The following is a 17,115-nucleotide window of genomic DNA, read 5'->3' as shown; positions in this document are numbered from 1 at the left end:
TCAGCCTCCCAAAGTGCTGGGATTACAGGTGTGAGCCACCGCGCCCGGCTCAGACAGGTTTTTAAGATACTGCTAATATAGCACTTGGAATGAAGGCACTCTGGCTGTCACTAGGGCGTGGTCAGTGCCCAGGGACTCCTGCCCATAGAGGAATGAAGCCCTACCCAGAGGCACCCTCTGCACGCCTGTGAAACCCCAGCAGGGGCTGCCACATTCCCTGGGTTATGGGTGCGGCAATGTGAACCGGGAATAAAACCTGGGGCCTTTCAGAGTGGCAGAGGAGGCTGAAAAGAGGTGGAGAGAGCCCAGCTGCACTCACGGGCCAACACAGACCCCTGGTCTAAAAGGAGTCCCCCAGAACGGGTCAGGCCAGAAATCCGTTCTAGTCCTCAGTTCCCCATGTTCTCTGTCCTCTGTGTCTCTCGCCAATTGCATAGGCTCCTCTTGTCTTTCTCTCCTTCCCTCCCCTGCCTGCATCTTCTCAACAGATGCCCTGTGCCGTCAATAAGTAGCCACGGGCCCCCCAAGCAAACAGGGGCATTCTCACCAGTATCTGAGTGCTCCCAAAGGGCTGTGGGGTCCGATCAGGTGGGAATGGGGCACAGATGGGGCTCATTCGCCTGGCCTGTTGGTTGAACTTGCCCCCTGGGGTGTGGCCATAGAGTTGTGGTGGGGAACCCCTTTTTCATGTACCCTGAGTAGGGGAAGCTGTGTGGAGAAAGTGGGGGGTAGGACTCTGCTGAGCAGGGCGAGGCCCACGGTTGTCTCATGACATTAGAAACATGAAATGAAACTCAAGGTCCTGAGTCATCCCTGTGACTGAGGCTTTTGGACTGGCTTTTTTTTTTTTTTTTTTTTGAGACGGAGTTTAGCTCTTGTTGACCATGCTAGAGTGCAATGGCGTGATCTCAGCTCATTGCAACCTCTGCCTCCTGGGTTCAAGAGATTTTCCTTCCTCAGCCTTCCTGAGTAGCTGGGATTACAGGCACGCGTCACCACGCCCGGCTAATTTTGTATTTTTAGTAGAGACAGGGTTTCTCCATGTTGGTCAGGCTGGTCTCGAACTCCCAACCTCATGTGATCCGCCCGCCTCGGCCTCCCAAAATGTTGGGATTACAGGCGTGAGCCACCGTGCCCAGCCTCGGACTGGCTTTTACCATTTTGAACAGAAAGTCTGCAGCGTGAACAATGGCTCAGGCTGATGAATGCCTCAGTCTAAGTGATTTAGCTGGTGCTGACCCGCTCCCTCATTGATCTTCCTCATTCCCAATTCCAGCAGCAATTGAAGTCTGCACCACACAATTTAGAACTCAGTTGTATATCACCTGCTGCTGTTCCTGTTGTTTCCTATGAGTTGGTCTTGCCTTTCCAGCAAGAATTACAAGCTCCTTCAGGACTGGGATCAAGTTTGTTTGATACTCCTTTAACCTCCAACGCCACTCAATAAATACCCCTTGATTAGATCAGATAATATCTGCATTGCAGTGAGCCAACTTGGCACAGAGAGGCACTCAATAAATGCTTGCATGAAGGAGTGATTTTTTCTGTTGACAAAGGACAAGACAGATCTTTCTGAAATTTTGCAGGAGGTACTTACATCTAAACTTGGTCTGCTGATTATGACAAATCTCAGCCCCCTCTTCTGAAATCACTTCCCTCAACTAGTGAAATAGGTTGGTATTAGTATTCCATACTTACAGTGTTGCTGGCTGAGTGGTGTCTCCCCCAAAATTCATGGGTTTGTTTTGTTTTGTTTTGTTTTGTTTTGAGACAGAGTCTTGCTCTGTTGCCCAGGCTGGAGTGCAGTGACACGATCATAGCTCACTGAGCCTCGACCTCCTGGGCTCAAGGGATCCTCCCATCTCAGCCTCCCAATGTGTTGGGGTTATAGTTGTGAGCCACCACTCCTGGCCCAAAACTCGTGTGTTGAAGCCTTAATGCTCAGTACCTCAAAAGGTGACTGTACTTGGAGATAGGACCTTTAAAGAGGTGATTAAATTAAAAGGAGGCCCTTAGGGTGGGCCTAATCTAATCTGACTGGCGTCCTTATAGGAACAGGAAATTCGGAGTGGGAAGAGACAGCAAGGGTCCTTGTTGGCACACTGAGGCCTCAGAAGAAACCAAGCTTGTCAACACTTTGATCTTGGACTTCCAGCCCAGGGAACTGTGAGGAAATAAGTTTCTGTTTTTTGAGTCACCAAGATTGTGATATTGTGTGATGGCAGCCTCAGCCAACTAACACAGAGAGAAGTTGAGGTCTCCAGAAGGGAAGTATCTTCTGTCATGGAGTAAGCCTCTAAGCTGTCCAGAATTCCCCCAAGGTCATGTGTCCCTAAGTGCGGGCACTCCCACAGGGGTGCCACAGTCTAGCCGTGTCCTGGATTTACTCCTTCTTGTGCTCCCTTCATACCAAGCCAAGGGTCTCTGTCTCCGTGGGGCATTCTCCCCTGGATCCTGGCCACTCCACACCCCTCCCCACCCTCTCACATTCCCACCTCCACATCCCTGCAAGCACCCATGTGAGATGTGCCCTGCCACACTGCAAGGAAGTGCAAGGCTCACATGGTGTTTTGTTGGGGTGACTCCAGAGAGCCTTCTTCCAGGGCTCCATTCTCTTTGCATGGGAGGACAGCATCAGGCAGTTCCATCCACGGGCTGCCTAGTCTGAGCAGTTGCTAGCGTCAGGGTAGGGCAGACCTCTGAGGCCAGGCCAGTGGGCGGGCAGAAGCCACGCTCCCAGGCACCAGCCAGGAAGCTGGATCTAGGGGTGGGCATGTGGAGGTGGGAATTCCAACAACGTCTGGGAGAAAGACAGGCGAGGCACAACAGTCAGAGGACCAGAAAGAAACCAATGAGTGGAGGCCTGGTCGGGCCATCTGGGCAATTGCCTGTTTGTTTAAGAGATCCAACTCTGAGTGTATGGAATTGAGAGACCTGGGCCCAAGGGGCAGAGGGTAGGGGACTCCCATGCAGTTTATGCCCTGGAGTTCTTTTTTTTTTTTCTTTTGAGACAGAGTCTCACTCTGTTGCCCGGGCTGGAGTGTGGTGGCATGATCTCAGTTCACTGCAACCTCCACCTCCCAGGTTCAAGCGATACTCCTGCCTCAGCCTCTGAAGTAGCTGGGATTACAGGCGCCCGCCACCATGTCCAGCTAATTTTTTTGTATTTTTAGTAGAGACAGAGTTTCACCATGTAGGCCAGGCTGGTCTCAAATTCCTGACCTCATGATTTGCCCGCCTCAGCCTCCCAAAGTGCTGGGATTACAGGCGTGAGCCACTGCGCCTGGCCAACACCCTGGAGTTCTCTCTCGTGTATCTGTCAGATTTTGTTTGCCCCCTTTCTCCTACCTGCACCTAGAAAACTGTTTTTCACCTGGATTCCCGTTTTCCAGTGTCAGCTATGTGTCACACTTTGCCAGCTTTTGCCCAACCACGTAGGATGTGATCTGAGCACACAAACACCTTCCAGGTTTTAAAAAACTGTTCAGTTAATCATTGCAGGCACGTCTTGGTTACTGAGGCTGGCCTTTGTCTGGAAGTGTCTTCTAGGTAGACTTTGACTAGCAGAGAGTAGCACCTTTGAGGCTGGTGTGGATTGCCTCATTGCATGGTGCCCACCTTCCGTGCATGGCCCCTCAGTGTGATACCCAGGGGGCTTTGTCTGCGGGTGGGGTGTGATAGCAAACCTTCTGTGAAAGGGAGGCTGCCACTCCCCTTCGCTACCCGCCACTTTGATCTAACCTAGCTGGGTGCACTGTTGTCCTTGGTTTGCTTCTACAACACTGCAGTTTCTGTGTCACCTTAAGCCCTTGAAACCTAGTGACCGACCTTCTGAAATGCCTCTGCAGCTCCATCACTCATCCTAGAAAGATGGCATTATCCATCCTCAAGGAAGATATCCATCCTAAAGAAAGATTCAGCTAGGATATACAATGCTTCTCAAACTTGACCATGCACGAGGATCACTGGAGGGGTGGTTAAAGCAGATTCCTGAGTCCCCGCCCTGGAGTTTCTGAGTCGGGAGGTCTGGGAAGGTGAGGCTGCTGAGTCTGGCCAGGGGCCATACTCTGAGACCCACAGAGCTAGGATTACAAACTGTGCCATCTCTCTGAGTGTGTGCGACTGAACACTTGCTTTTAACCATTCTTTCTCAAACACTCTCTTGCGAATGTTGAGGAGAGCCTGGATCAGGGTCCTGGATAAGAGCTGACGAAATAGCACCAACAGTGGGTCTCTGGGCCTAGTTAGCCCTGAAATGTAGTTGGGGCTGAGCCTGATATTTCACAGGCTGCTTCTTGACTCATGTTTGAAAATTTTTTTTTAATCCAGTGTGATTTATTCTTTCTTTGAGACAAGGGCTTGCTCTGTTGCCCAGGCTGGAGTGCAGTGGCACAATCATAGCTCACTGTAGCGTTGACCTCCTGGGCTCAAGTGATCCTCCCGCCTCCCAAAGTGCTGGGATTAGAGGTGTTAGCCACCACACCCAGCCAAACTCTAACAAAATACTGTAGAGAATAAATCACAATAAAGCAGGTGCAGTGGCTCATGCCGGCAATCCCAGCACTTTGGGAGGCCAAGGCAGGAGGATCGCTTGAGCCCAGGAGTTCAAGATCAGCCTAGGCAACATAGCGAGACCTCATTTCTACAAAAAATTTTTTCAAAAATTAGCCAGGCATGGTGGCACGTGCCTGTGGTCCCAGCTGCTCAGGAGGGAGACTGAGGTGAGGGGATCCCTTCAGCCTGAGAGGTCCAGGCTCCAGTGAGCTATGAATGTTTGCACCATTGCACTCCAGCCTGGTGGGGCAGAGCAAGGCCCTGTCTCTAAATTAAAAAATAAGAAGTCCAGGGAGGCTCAGCTGAGTTCTCTGTTTAAGATCTTGCAGGCTGAGATCAAGGTGCTGGCAGGGCTGCATTCCTGACCGGAGGCTCTGGAGGAGTCTTCTCCTACACTCATGCAGGTTGTGGGCTAACGTCAGCTCCTGGAGGTTGTGGGACTGGGACCCCTCTTTCCTTGCTGGCTGTCAGCTGGGGAAAAGTCTCTGCTCCTGGAGGGTGCCTGCTCTCCCTGACATGCTTTCTGTCAGCCGTGAGTCCCTCCCACCCTTCAAATCTCTGGCTTTTTATGTTGAATCTCTCAGGCTCCAGCCATATACAGCTCTGTGCTTTTAAGGGATCATGGGATTAGATTGGGTTCACCTGGATAATTCCGGCTAATCTCCTCATTTAAAGGTCCATGACCTTAATTAGATCTACAAAGTTCTCTGTGCTGTATATAATACAACATATTTTCAGGATTAGGGCACGGAGATCTTTAGGAAGATATTCTGCCTGTCACAAATAGGTAACACGGTTGAAAAAAAAATGAGAATACCATCTAAGTGATGACAGTGAAGTCTTATTCCAACTCCCTGTCCTTTCTGCCTGATTCTTCACCCATCTGAACAGCTTGCCACTTGTATTAGTCTCTTGTGTATCCTTCCAGAGTTTCTTTTTTGAAAACATAGCCATGAATAGCCTAGATGCGGTGGCTCATGCCTGTAATCCCAGCAGTTTGGGAGGCAGAGGCAGGCGGATCGCTTGAGCCCAGGAGTTCGAGACCAGTAACATGGTGAAATCCCACCTCTACAAAAACAATACATAAATGAATAAATAAAATTAAGGCCAGGCGCGGTGGCTTACACCTGTAATTCAGCACTTTGGGAGGCTGAGGCGAGTGGATTACCTGAAGTCAGGGGTTGGAGACCAGCCTGGCCAACATGGTGAAACCCGGTGTCTACTATTTTTTTTTTTTTTTTTTTGAGATGGAGTTTCACTCTTGTTGCCCAGGCTGGAGTGCAATGGCGCAATCTCGGCTCACCGTAACCTCCGCCCCCCCAGGGTTCAAGTGATTCTCCTGCCTCAGCCTCCCAAGTAGCTGGGGTTACAGGCGTCTGCCACCACGCCTGGCTATTTTTTTGTATTTTTAGTAGAGATGGGGTTTTACCATGTTGCTCAGGCTGGTCTCGCACTCCAGACCTCAGGTGATCCACCCGCCTCGGCCTCCCAAAGTGCTGGGATTACAGGCACGAGCCACCGCGCCCGGCCGCCTTTTTTTTTTTTTTTTTTTTTTTGGAGACAGAGTCTTGCTCTGTGGCCCAGGCTGGAGTGCAGGGGCACAATTTCAGCTCACTGCAATCTCTGCCTCCTGGGTTCAAGCAATTCTCTTGCCTCAGCCTCCCCAGTAGTAGCTGGGACTACAGGCGCCTGTCACCATGCCCGGCTAATTTTTATATTTTTAGTAGAGACGAGGTTTCACTGTTGGCCAGGCTGGTCTCGAACTCCTGACCTCGTGATCCACCCGCCTTGGCCTCCCAAAGTGCTGGGATTACAGGTGTGAGCCACCGTGCCCGGCGAAGGTTTTTTTATAGTGCATAGAAAAAGTTCTTCATCTATCTTTATAAAACATAGGACTCGGTACATGGGTACCGTAATTTACTTAACCGGCCTCTTATTCACAGACTATTGGTCTATTCCTGATATTCTGCCATACACTCTGTAGCCACCTGTGCTAACTTCATACACACACATTGCTTACATGTGACCACTGATTTTTGTTTTTTACTCTAACATCTCTAAGGCTAGAGGCAAGTTGGGGTGGTAACAGTCTCTTGTGGGTACACAACTTGTCCATGGGCAGTTTGATGGCCCACAAAATGGAGGCTTTTGCTTAAATCTGTGAATCTGTGTCATTGCCGAACCTAAATGTTGTCTCAGTGCTGCCAAAGCATTCTCAGCTTTTCTGTAGGACACTGGTCAGCCCCAGTGCACACCAACCCAGTCCATGTGAACGGTGCCTGTCAGGTGCAGCCACCAGATGGGCAAGCTGCCACTCGGCCCCAAGCCCCTGCACCCACCGGCCTTGACACTCTGACCAGAGGACATTCCTCTTGCGGGGCCTGAACTGTCATCCCCGCTCATCTTCTGGGTGGTGTTTATGCTCTTGCCCACAAGGGCCCTTTCCTTTGGCCCTTTGGAGGCCTCCGGCTCCCTGGCCAGTCCCTCCTCCTCTCCTGTTTTCTGGGTTGTCGTCAGGTGTCTGAAGATTCATAAGCTGATTCTGAAGGCTGATCTCCTCACCTAAAATAGCAAGCTCAGCTGACTGCAGGGCTTGGCCTCTCAAGGCATGCACAATAAGGGTCTTGGCTGCAGCCAATTTCCTGCCCCCTCCCCACCACCCAACCTCAGCCCCAGGACCAGAAGTTTTCTGTCCTTCCTATTTTATTCCGTAGAGGTCTCAACTTTCAGTTTCATTATGAGACAGAAATGAGTGACGTCTCCTGAAGGGCTCTCTGATGACTGACTGGGGATAAGTACCCACCCCTCCAAGCCTTCTATCACCACTGCAAAAAACTCACAGTGGGCAGTGACTGCACATTCATCAGCAGACAGACATCCATCCATCCAGAGAACCAGGGCTGTCCCCCAGGCTGGGTTCAGGGGCTGGGGAGAAGCAAACTGAGAAGCCAAGGCAGGGCCTAGAACTCTGGGAAGACCAGGAAAGCACAAACCATGGCTTTAATAAACAATAAAATAGATTTAAGAGCTATTTCTGGCCGGGCGTGGTGGCTCACACCTGAAATTCCAGCACTTTGGGAGGCCAAAGGGGGGCGGATCGCCTGAGGTCGGGAGTTTGAGACCAGCCTGACCAACATGGAGAAACCCCGTCTCTACTAAAAATACAAAATTAGCTGGATGTGGTGGAGCATGCCTGTAATCCCAGCTACTTAGGAGGCTGAGGCAGGAGAATCGCTTAAAGCTGGGAGGCGGAGGTTGCGGTGAGCTAAGATCACGCCATCGCACTCCAGCCTGGGCAATGAGTGAAACTCCCTCTCAAAAAAAAAAAAAAAAAGGAGCTGTTTCAATCCACTGGGACGGATTTCTTTCTATTCTCTCTGCATCAGATGGAGCAGAGCTTCCAGATGGGGGTTAATATGAGCTGTCACTTCTCACTTGGCATCGCATATTCTTTACTCACTTTCCTTTTTTTTTTTTTTTTTTGAGATGGGGTCTCACTCTGTCACCCAGGCTGTAGTGCAGTGTGCGATCATGGCTCCCCACAGCCTTGAACTCCTGGGCTCAAGGGATCCTCCCACCTCAGCCTCCTGAGTAGCTGGGAGTACCTGGGACTATAGATGCGTGCCACCATGCCTGGCTAATTTTTTAATTTGTTTGTAGAGATGTGGTCTCCCTGTGGTGCCCAGCCTGGTCTTAAACTCCAGTCCTCACGTGATCCTCCTGCCTGGGCCTCCCAAAGTGCTGGGGTTGTAGGTGTGAGCTACCATGCCCAGCACACCACTTTTCTTTGCTATCCCCCCATCCCTCTTTCAGTTTCTTAAGCTTTTCACCTCAGGACCTTTGAACACACTTTCTCCCTGGGCCTGAAAGTCTGCTTCTCCTGCTGGCCAACTCCTATCCATCCTTTGTGAATGTCATTTCTGGTGGGAAACAATCCTGCACCCCCTGCCCTGGGTTGGGTCTCCCTCCTGTGTTGTTCCTTTCCTTCCATATCCTAAATGTATTTCCATGTAATTTATTTAATCCATCATTTATTCATGTTCTGTTTGTAAACGTCATGAGGACAGGGACCACACCCCCAGTACCCGCTATGTTATTACATTGTCTGGAAATGAGAGTTAAAACACTGAGCGTGAGAAGTGCTGGGGACATGGAAACCCCGGTGCTAAGGTGTTTTCCTTGAGCTCCTGCATCCAGTTTCTGAGATAGTGCATCCCAGTCCTATTTTTGTCCCAGAGGGCCCCTTGGGGTCCTCCATTGTCATCCTTAGTTACTGACCCCAGGAATCTGGTCCTCTTTCTGCACGCCGGCTTGCCCCTAGAACTTCTCAGTCCACTCTCCTGGGTGCTTGCATCCCCTTTCGGTCTTTTTCATCTCTGCTCTGGTTGTCTTTTCTTTATCCCACGCTGGCGCCCACCCAGGAGGCCTCTTTTCCTCCAGTCTTAGTCAGCTCATCATCCTGACAATAACTGCGTTTAAAGATCCATTATTTTCATTTGCATGTAAAAGGTCATCCTTTTGGCCCCCGGACAATCTGTTTCTTGTATTACAACTTTAAAAATATTTATGACTCCTGAATTTACATTTTAACACAGACCTCGCCAGGTTCTGTGTTTGGGGGATGGAGTCACCCAAATCTCACCATTTGCGCTGGGGGTGAAGAGATGCCGCCTAGGAGGCTGCTCTGGCATACCTATAGAACAGTTTCAGATGCAAATTGATGTTCTTGGTTGAATGGGGGTGGCAAGGGCCATACGCACAGGCATGCACAGACCCCAGTCCTTAATCTTCGTCCCACAGAGACAGACCCTGACCTCATCCCCTGCTTGGCCAAGAAGCTGGGGAAATATCAGGGGGGGTCTTTGGTCGATTTTTTTTTTTTTTTTTTTTTTTTAGAGACAGGGTTTCACCATGTTGGCCAAGCTGGTCTCGAACTCCTGACCTTGTGATTTGCCTGCCTCGGACTTCCAAAGTGCTAGGATTACAGGTGTGAGCCACCGAGCCTGGCCTATGGTCGATCTTATTCCAAGCCCTGTTTGGGGTTGTTTTGAAGGCGGAGATGGCCCTGTTCCCCATCTGGACCCACTTCCTCCATGGCAGCCATCAGTTGAACTTTTGCAGATCTCTAGGGTAATTTACCCTCAGCTTGGAACTTCCTGGTGTATCCCTGTCCACAGATTGTTTTTCCTTGTGAGCCTCAGTTTCTCTCTATAAAACGGGGCCAAAAGTCTACCCCTTACCTGCTCTTCACATGGGAGGAGGTAAAGGCACACTTTTAATTTTTTTGTAGAGATGGGGTCTCGCTATGTTGGCCGCGCTGGTCTTGGACTCCGGGGCTCAAGCGATCCTCTTGCCTCTACCTCTCAAAGTGCTGGGATTACAGGCTCGAGCCACCATTGGCCTGAAGGCACACTTTCATCATCACAAGGAGAGGGGAGGAAAGAGAGCGTGGGTCTCCCAAGACAGAGGTTCACTGTGCATCAAGGCCGGCCCAGGGGTACAGGCACAATACCCGTGCCAAGGGGAGCCAAGCATTGTCCTCCGGAGTGCAGTTCCCAGTTGGATGCGCTAGACGGAGGGATTTCTCGCGGTGGTGAAAGCAGGAGCTTCTTGGAGGCGGGCAGGGAACACCCATGCTCTTTGAGGAAGAGGGGTGGAGCCACTGGGAAGAGGTGGGAGGGGCTGCTCTCCATCCTTCCCATCCTCTCCTCCTCTGGAGTCTCCTTCCTCTTTCTCCTGGACTCCCTCGGGGTGGCCTTCAGGAGGGAGTCGCCAGCGCCCAGGTGTGACTCTCGAGGAATCTGAATCTTAATGTGTGTAGATGATGCCGAATGTTGCTATTCAACTTTTTCATGTGAACCTGTCTCCGGAAATGGGGTGGCTTTGAGTCCTCTGTGCAGAATAATCACTAGGGAAGCTTTTAAAATATACCAGACCACTCCCCTGCACCCCTAAATATACCAGAGCCCAAGTCCAAGGAATGTGACTTAATGGGCCTGGGGCGGGGCCTAGACACCTGTGGCTTGTAAAAGTTTCCCAGGTGATTCTAAGGTGCAGCCCAGGCTGCATCCAGCCTGCATTCAGTTGGGCCTTCTGCAGTCTGTGTAGATGGAGGTGCTGCTCAAGTGATCCTTTGGAAAGTGAGCAGCTGAAACTGGCCCCTGGGCAAAAGTGGGAGAAGGGCAAATAGAAGTGTCTGGTAGGAAGGTGGCAGGTGAGGTGTGGTTGGAGTTCCAGCATGTTCAGTGCAGGGAGCAGAGGCTGAGAAGGGTGTGTGATGCACCTGCAAATACAGCCATCAGGGGCCAGGAAGCCAAGGTCGCCTTGCAGTCCTGCTCCAGAACTTTCTCCCTCTCAATTGGCCTTTTCCCGCTTCTGTTTTCTCTCTCCTCCCCTAGGAGGCTGTAAGCGAAGGACAGGTTTAGTGTCATGGGCCTGGCTCAGCCACTTGCTGGAACCTGGATCCAGGGTATTAGCTTCTCTGAAGTCAGGTTTTTCATCTGTTGAATGGGGGGAAAGTGCTTGCCCACCTCATAAGGCGACTGAGGCTTACACCAGGTCATCTGTGGAGCTCAGCTGTGGCTGTTGTTTTTACCTGGTCTTCCTCTTGATGGCTGCGGAACTGAGTGTCTGTTGGCTATTGAACCCGTGAGGCCCGCGTTTCCACATCTTCTACAATAGGGACAGTAATAGGTGGTGCACAGAGTGGGGAGGGAGTTAGAAGGGAAAGGACAGAGCACAAAAGAGGCAGCTGAGAAGTTGGGTTCCTCTGCCCTTCCTCCCTCTGTCTCAGCGCCATCCCCCCCACTACTCTTTCCCCTCAACAGCGCTCCTCTTGCGGTCCTGCTGAATAGTCATCCATTTGGAGGCTCTGGATGGAGCTTTTGGTTTAAAGAGGAGGCCAGGAGATGTAGAACAGCGATAAGGAAATGCACATTAGAGATAAAGGACCTGCTTAATCAGTCACAAAGACCTGTCAAAGAACAGTTGTGAGTGCTTGTTCCTAATGCTCCCTCCGTGGCAGGACTGGAGCCCCAGGGAGAGAAGGGAACTAAGCAGCTTCTCGCATCCATTCATTCAACCACTGGGCAAACATTGACCGAGCAGTTATATAGAGAGCGGCACCCACAGTATTTGGTGACGAGACTGCCTCTGCCATTGGGAGGTGTATCCCAGTGATAGACGCACTCAAGTCCTGGAGCATTTCAACACAGTGCGCCACATGCTGAGACAGGGGCTCAGCCCAGGGAGGCCACCTGGCCTTCGTGAAGCGGGAAGGGAAAGGTCTTCCAGGCCCAGCGGGTGTGTGCACCTGTGCAAAGGCCTCTGCAAAGCACGAGCCTGGCCGGTTTGGAGAACTGCAAAGAGGTCAGTACGAGGAGCTGGAGGCTGTGCAGGGGGCCAATAAAGAGAGGCCGGTGCGGCGGGGGCGGGGGGAGCTTTTGGAATTTTCAGAAGGGAAGTGATACGATCTGATTTGCTTTCCTAAGGTCTCTCATCCAGAGTGCAGAGAACACTGGCAGGGATTGTGGCTGGAGAAATGAAACGGAATCCTGGGTGATGCAGGTCCTCAGACAGCAGGGCTTTTAAAAGATTCTGAGACAGCCAGTCCTCCCCTCCCTGCTGCTGGAGGAAGGCTCTTGAGAACAACACAGCAACCGTCAGACCAGGAAGGGCAGGCAGTCCTCCTGCTGTCCTGTCAACAGGTGGAAATAAAAGTCCTTCACCCCAACAAGGCCACGGACCCCACGTCTGACGTATAGAAAAGGCTGGCCAAAACATGCACAATCACACGAGAGGCCTTTTTTTTCCTACTTTTTTTTTTTAAGTTTTTATTATTATTATTTTTTAGAGATATGGTCTTGCTCTGTCGCCTGGACTGGAGTGCAGTGGTGTGATTATGGCTCACTGCAGCCTCAAACTTCTGCGCTCAAGCAATTCTTCTGCTTCAGCCTCCCAAAGTGCTGGGATTACAGGTGTGAGCCACCACGTCTGGCCCAGAGGGCCATCTTTTGTCTTTGGATTCAGAGCCCACTTTGAAGGTGGCAAGTCACAGATGTTGGCATAATTGATGATGATTCCTGGGGCAGCCAAAGGAAAGGACCAAAATACAGACAGTCTCACCAGGCATGACAGCAGTGATAAAGAAAAAGCCACTCCCTTTTCCCCGCAGAAAAGAAAATGAAAAATAGGAATGGAAGAAAGAAAACTACGGAGAGTTGTAAAGATAAATGTCGGTGCTTACAAAGTATGGGAGTCTGGGCGTGGTGGCTCACGCCTGTAATCCCAGCACTTTCAGAGGCTGAGGCGGGCGGATCAGTTGAGATCAGACGTTCGAGACCAGCCTGGTCAACATGGTGAAACCTCCTCTCTACTAAAAATACAAAAATTAGCCAGCAGGCTAATTTTTATATTTAATTTTTAAATTAGTGGCGGGTGCCTGTAATCTCAGCTACTCAGGAGGCTGAGGCATGAGAACCACTTGAACCCGGGAGGTGGAGGTTGTGGTGAATGGAGGTGGCACCACTGCACTCCAGCCTGGGTGACAGAGCGAGATTCCCGTCTCAAAAAAAACAAAAAAAGAGTGTGTGGGAGATGAGAAACAGAAAGATGGGAGGCAAGTGGCTTGGGCTTGATCCCTCGGGATGTTTCAGTGTTGCACTGAAAATGAGGAGCTAGGCCGGGCGCGGTGGCTCATGCCTGTAATCCCAGCACTTTGGGAGGCCAAGGTGGGTGGATCACAAGGTCAGGAGTTCAAGACCAGCCTGGCCAAGATGATGAAACCCCATCTCTACTAAAAAATAGAAAAATTAGCCCGGTGTGGTGGTGGGTGCCTATAATCCCAGCTACTTGGGAGGCTGAGTCAGAGAATTGCTTGAACCCGGAAGGCAGAGGTTGCAGTGAGCCGAGATTGCGCCATTGCACTCCAGCCTGGGCGACAGAGTGAGACTCCATCTAAAAAATAAAAGTAAAAAATAAAAAAATTTAAAAAGCCGGGTGCGGTGACTCATGCCTATAATCCCAGCACTTTGGGAGGCCGAGGCGGGCAGATCACCTGAGGTCGGGAGTTCGAGACCAGCCTGACCAACATGGAGAAACCCCATCTCTACTGAAAATGCAAAATTAGCCAGGCGTGGTGGCGCATGGCTATAATACCAGCTACGCGGGAGGCCGAGGCAGGAGAATTGCTTTGAACCCAGGAGACGGAGGTTGCAGTGAGCTGAGATCGTGCCATTACACTCCAGCCTGGGCAACAAGAGTGAAACTTTGTCTCAAAAAAAAAAAAAAGAAAAGAAAAGAAAAAAAAGAAAATGAAGAGCTAAATGCAAACAAACAAGAAGAACTTGCCCAGGCTTATCCATTTGCTGTTGGCATTTATCATGATCTCTAAGATTGTGGTATGATTGCACAAGTAGAGTGCTGCCCGATTCCAGGAGGCACTGTGTACACTGCTGGCATTGTAGGCTCATCTATTTATGACAAGTTTTGGCCAATGGCACACAAGAAGCCACACAGCGAATGGCTGGGCTGATTGGCCACTCCTTGCAAGGCACCCTGGTGTCATTTGCCTCTTCTGTGTTACACCAGGTTGAGGAGACCTAAATGTCTAACAAACACTCATACACCCAAACACCCGCTCTTTTCCTCCATACTTTCAATCATGCGTGCCTTCCCGCAGCAGACGTTTGGGTCCTTCCTCTGAGCCTGGCACTATGAAGACCCCAAGGTAAACAACAGCTTTCCATCTGCTATGCGAATATATATGAAACGAACAGTCATAGAAATCTATGAATACAAAATCACAAGCTGTGATACATGTTGTGGAAGAAGATAAAAGGGTATTGTGAAGAGTGGAACCGGGGCTAACTTCCTATAGGGGTGTTCCCTGAAGCCCTCCCCAGGAAGACACATTTCCATCGGGATCTCAAGGATGGGTGGGAGCTGCACTAGTCAAGGAGGGGAAGGAGCTCCCCCGTAAAGGGGATTGCACAGCAGCGCCTTGGAAGTGAAGGGCCCCCTCACTTGAGAGGCCACAGGAAGGCTGGCCAGCAGGTCGGGAGCTGGGGGAGAGGGTGGAGACATGGTCTCCAGGCCAGATAAGGCTGGCCCAGCAGGCCAAGAAAAAGAGCTTGCATTTTGCTCACTGTGTAGTGGGTAGACTTTGAAAGGTTTTCAGCAGGAAGGAACATGAGGGGCATGCTGAAATTTGTGTTTTTAGATCTGCAGAGTGGAAAATTAATGGAAAGGGGACAAAAGTAGAAGCTGCTGAAGTGAGCAGCTGAGGGATGATGGGGCCTTGCATTGGGTTGCAACTGTGGAGATGGAAGGAGTGGGCAGGTTGAAGGGTAAACATGGGGGCCTGGTGGAGATTTGGGGTGGGAGATGTGGAAGATATCCGCTAACTCCTCCTCATTTTCTAGAGTGGAAATCAGGTTTCTGGCAGAAACAACTGGGTGGATGGAGGTGCCACTCACTGGGAAGGGGAAAGTTGGAAGAAGAACAGCTTTTGTGGGGAGGGAAAATGGAAAAGTCAATATGGGCCAAGTTGAGTTTGAGATCTCAGTGTTGGCCTATTCACTGTCACAATATGAGGACAGAGACAAACTCACCAGCTCCTCTCTCACTGAGTATATGTTTGAGCATTTGCATTCCCAAAAAAAGGACAATCAAAACAAATATTTATTGGGCAGTTTCTGGGAATTCAGCAGGGAGAAGCAACAAGGAAGACTGGAACAGAGCCATGGGCAGCATGGCCCCAAGACTGCCTCCCCAGTTCCAATATTTTACTTAGTGGGTCCTGGACTTCTGCATCTGTAAAATGGGCAGATCACCTACCTCACAGAATTGTCCTGAGGACCGCATGAGATGGCGTAGACCACGACCTTTAGTCCAGTGCCCAGCACATAGTAAGTGCCCACTAACTGTGAGCAACTTTTGAGCAAATATTTAACGAGTGTTGCAATCGAATGGGGAAGCTGGACAGGGAGCAAATAGCTTCAAGAGTCACAAGTTGCTGCAGGCCTCAGTCTTACTTTTCAGTTTGCCCCTTAGAGTCATGAAGTCAGGAGTTCTCCCCTCCTGGGTTAGTGATGGTCTGTTGGGTTCTGCTCGGGTGTAGCATCTGTGGTTTGTGTATAACACCGTTCATTTCTCCATTCTGCTCCTTATCAGCCAAAAAGCAGGAAGAAGGCCCCTAACTGGGGCTGTGCACTCACGTCCATGGTTTAAAGAGTCAGGTTCCCAAGGGTCGACCCCAATACCAAACATTGTTAGCTTCTTAGAGGCAGTGATTTTCAAGTTCTTGAGTTGAATCTTTCAACTCAATCTCCCTCCGTATCATCAGTAACTTTATATTGCTATTCTTGATTTTTTTTCCATTTTAGGCATTATCTGCTGGCTTCCAACTGTAGAAATGAAGATCCTCTTCCTACCCCGACCAGCACAAACACATTTTCTGACTCTCTATCATCCCAGTCTATTTGTCATAATTTTGTGAGCTCTATATTCATTGGTTATCTTCATGTGCCTGTGTAGACACCACTGAGTTAAGGATAACTTCTGCTTTCCTGCACAATTCTCTGTATTTCATAGAATTAACAGTTGTCATATTTTTTCTTTTACTTTGTTTTCTATGTCTTCTTCATTTATTCAAACTCTCCCTTGGTTATGTGAAACTCTTATGAATAATGAATACAATCAAACACCTTAGGTATTATGCCAATTTCATCTTGAAAAACTTTTCTTCCTGAGGGTTTTTACCATCTCCAGCTGATCAAGGACCAATTGTTCTTAGGTCTGGTGGACAGCTCTGGACTTCAGATCTTCCTTTATCACCAATCTGGGAATTTCCTTTGCCTTTTCTTTTGATTTATATTTATTTCTTTAATTTTTTTTTTTTTTGAGACAGAGTCTCACTGTTGCCCAGGCTGGAGTGCAGTGGCACGATCTTGGCTCACTACAACCTCTGCCTCCCGGGTTCAAGTGATTCTCGTGCCTCAGCCTCCCGAGTAGCTGGGACCGCAGGTGTACACCACCACGCTTGGCTAATTTTTTGTATTTTTAGTAGAGATGGGGTTTCACCATGTTTGCCAGGCTGGTCTCGAACTTCTGACCTCGGGTGATCCGCCCACTTTGGCCTCCCAAAGTGCTGGGATTACAGGCGTGAGCCACTGCACCCAGCCTGATTTATATTTATTGATTTATTTCTAAGATGGCTTTTTTTTTTTTTTCTTCTGAGACGGAGTCTCGCTCTGTCACCCAGGCTGGAGTGCAGTGGCATGATCTTGGCTCACTGCAAGCTCCGCCTCCCGGGTTCACACCATTCTCCTGCCTCAGCCTCCCAAGTAGCTGGGACTACAGGCGCCCGCCACTACGCTCAGCTAATTTTTGGTATTTTCAGTAGAGATGGGGTTTCACCATGTTAGCCAGGATGGTCTCAATGTACTGACCTCGTGATCCCCCCACCTCGGCCTCCCAAAGTGCTGGGATTACAGGCGTGAGCCACCACGCCTGGCCCTAAGATGGTTTCTCACTCTGTTGCCTAGGCTGGTCTCAAACTCC

The 17,115-nt window shown here is 50.1% G+C and overlaps 6 annotated features.

The window, feature by feature from the left end:
• Positions 616 to 875: an enhancer, noted in NCBI's record as "active region_18617". NCBI's record gives its function as "activates an Ori minimal core promoter by ATAC-STARR-seq in GM12878 lymphoblastoid cells {active_cell/tissue: GM12878}" and the evidence as "EXISTENCE:reporter gene assay evidence [ECO:0000049][PMID:35858748]".
• Positions 896 to 955: an enhancer, noted in NCBI's record as "active region_18616". NCBI's record gives its function as "activates an Ori minimal core promoter by ATAC-STARR-seq in GM12878 lymphoblastoid cells {active_cell/tissue: GM12878}" and the evidence as "EXISTENCE:reporter gene assay evidence [ECO:0000049][PMID:35858748]".
• Positions 6,851 to 6,940: an enhancer, noted in NCBI's record as "active region_18615". NCBI's record gives its function as "activates an Ori minimal core promoter by ATAC-STARR-seq in GM12878 lymphoblastoid cells {active_cell/tissue: GM12878}" and the evidence as "EXISTENCE:reporter gene assay evidence [ECO:0000049][PMID:35858748]".
• Positions 7,011 to 7,060: an enhancer, noted in NCBI's record as "active region_18614". NCBI's record gives its function as "activates an Ori minimal core promoter by ATAC-STARR-seq in GM12878 lymphoblastoid cells {active_cell/tissue: GM12878}" and the evidence as "EXISTENCE:reporter gene assay evidence [ECO:0000049][PMID:35858748]".
• Positions 8,188 to 9,113: an enhancer, noted in NCBI's record as "OCT4-NANOG-H3K27ac hESC enhancer chr22:17716221-17717146 (GRCh37/hg19 assembly coordinates)". NCBI's record gives its function as "activates a minimal SCP1, AML or CMV promoter by ChIP-STARR-seq in naive and primed H9 embryonic stem cells {active_cell/tissue: H9 hESC(naive and primed)}" and the evidence as "EXISTENCE:reporter gene assay evidence [ECO:0000049][PMID:30033119]".
• Positions 9,114 to 10,041: an enhancer, noted in NCBI's record as "OCT4-NANOG-H3K27ac hESC enhancer chr22:17715293-17716220 (GRCh37/hg19 assembly coordinates)". NCBI's record gives its function as "activates a minimal SCP1, AML or CMV promoter by ChIP-STARR-seq in naive and primed H9 embryonic stem cells {active_cell/tissue: H9 hESC(naive and primed)}" and the evidence as "EXISTENCE:reporter gene assay evidence [ECO:0000049][PMID:30033119]".

The sequence above is a fragment of the Homo sapiens genome, chromosome 22, assembly GCF_000001405.40.
Source record: "Homo sapiens chromosome 22, GRCh38.p14 Primary Assembly".
In the NCBI taxonomy this organism is placed as follows: domain Eukaryota; kingdom Metazoa; phylum Chordata; class Mammalia; order Primates; family Hominidae; genus Homo; species Homo sapiens.
Note: the sequence above shows the minus strand (reverse complement) of the source record. Positions and strands in the feature narration are given on the sequence as shown.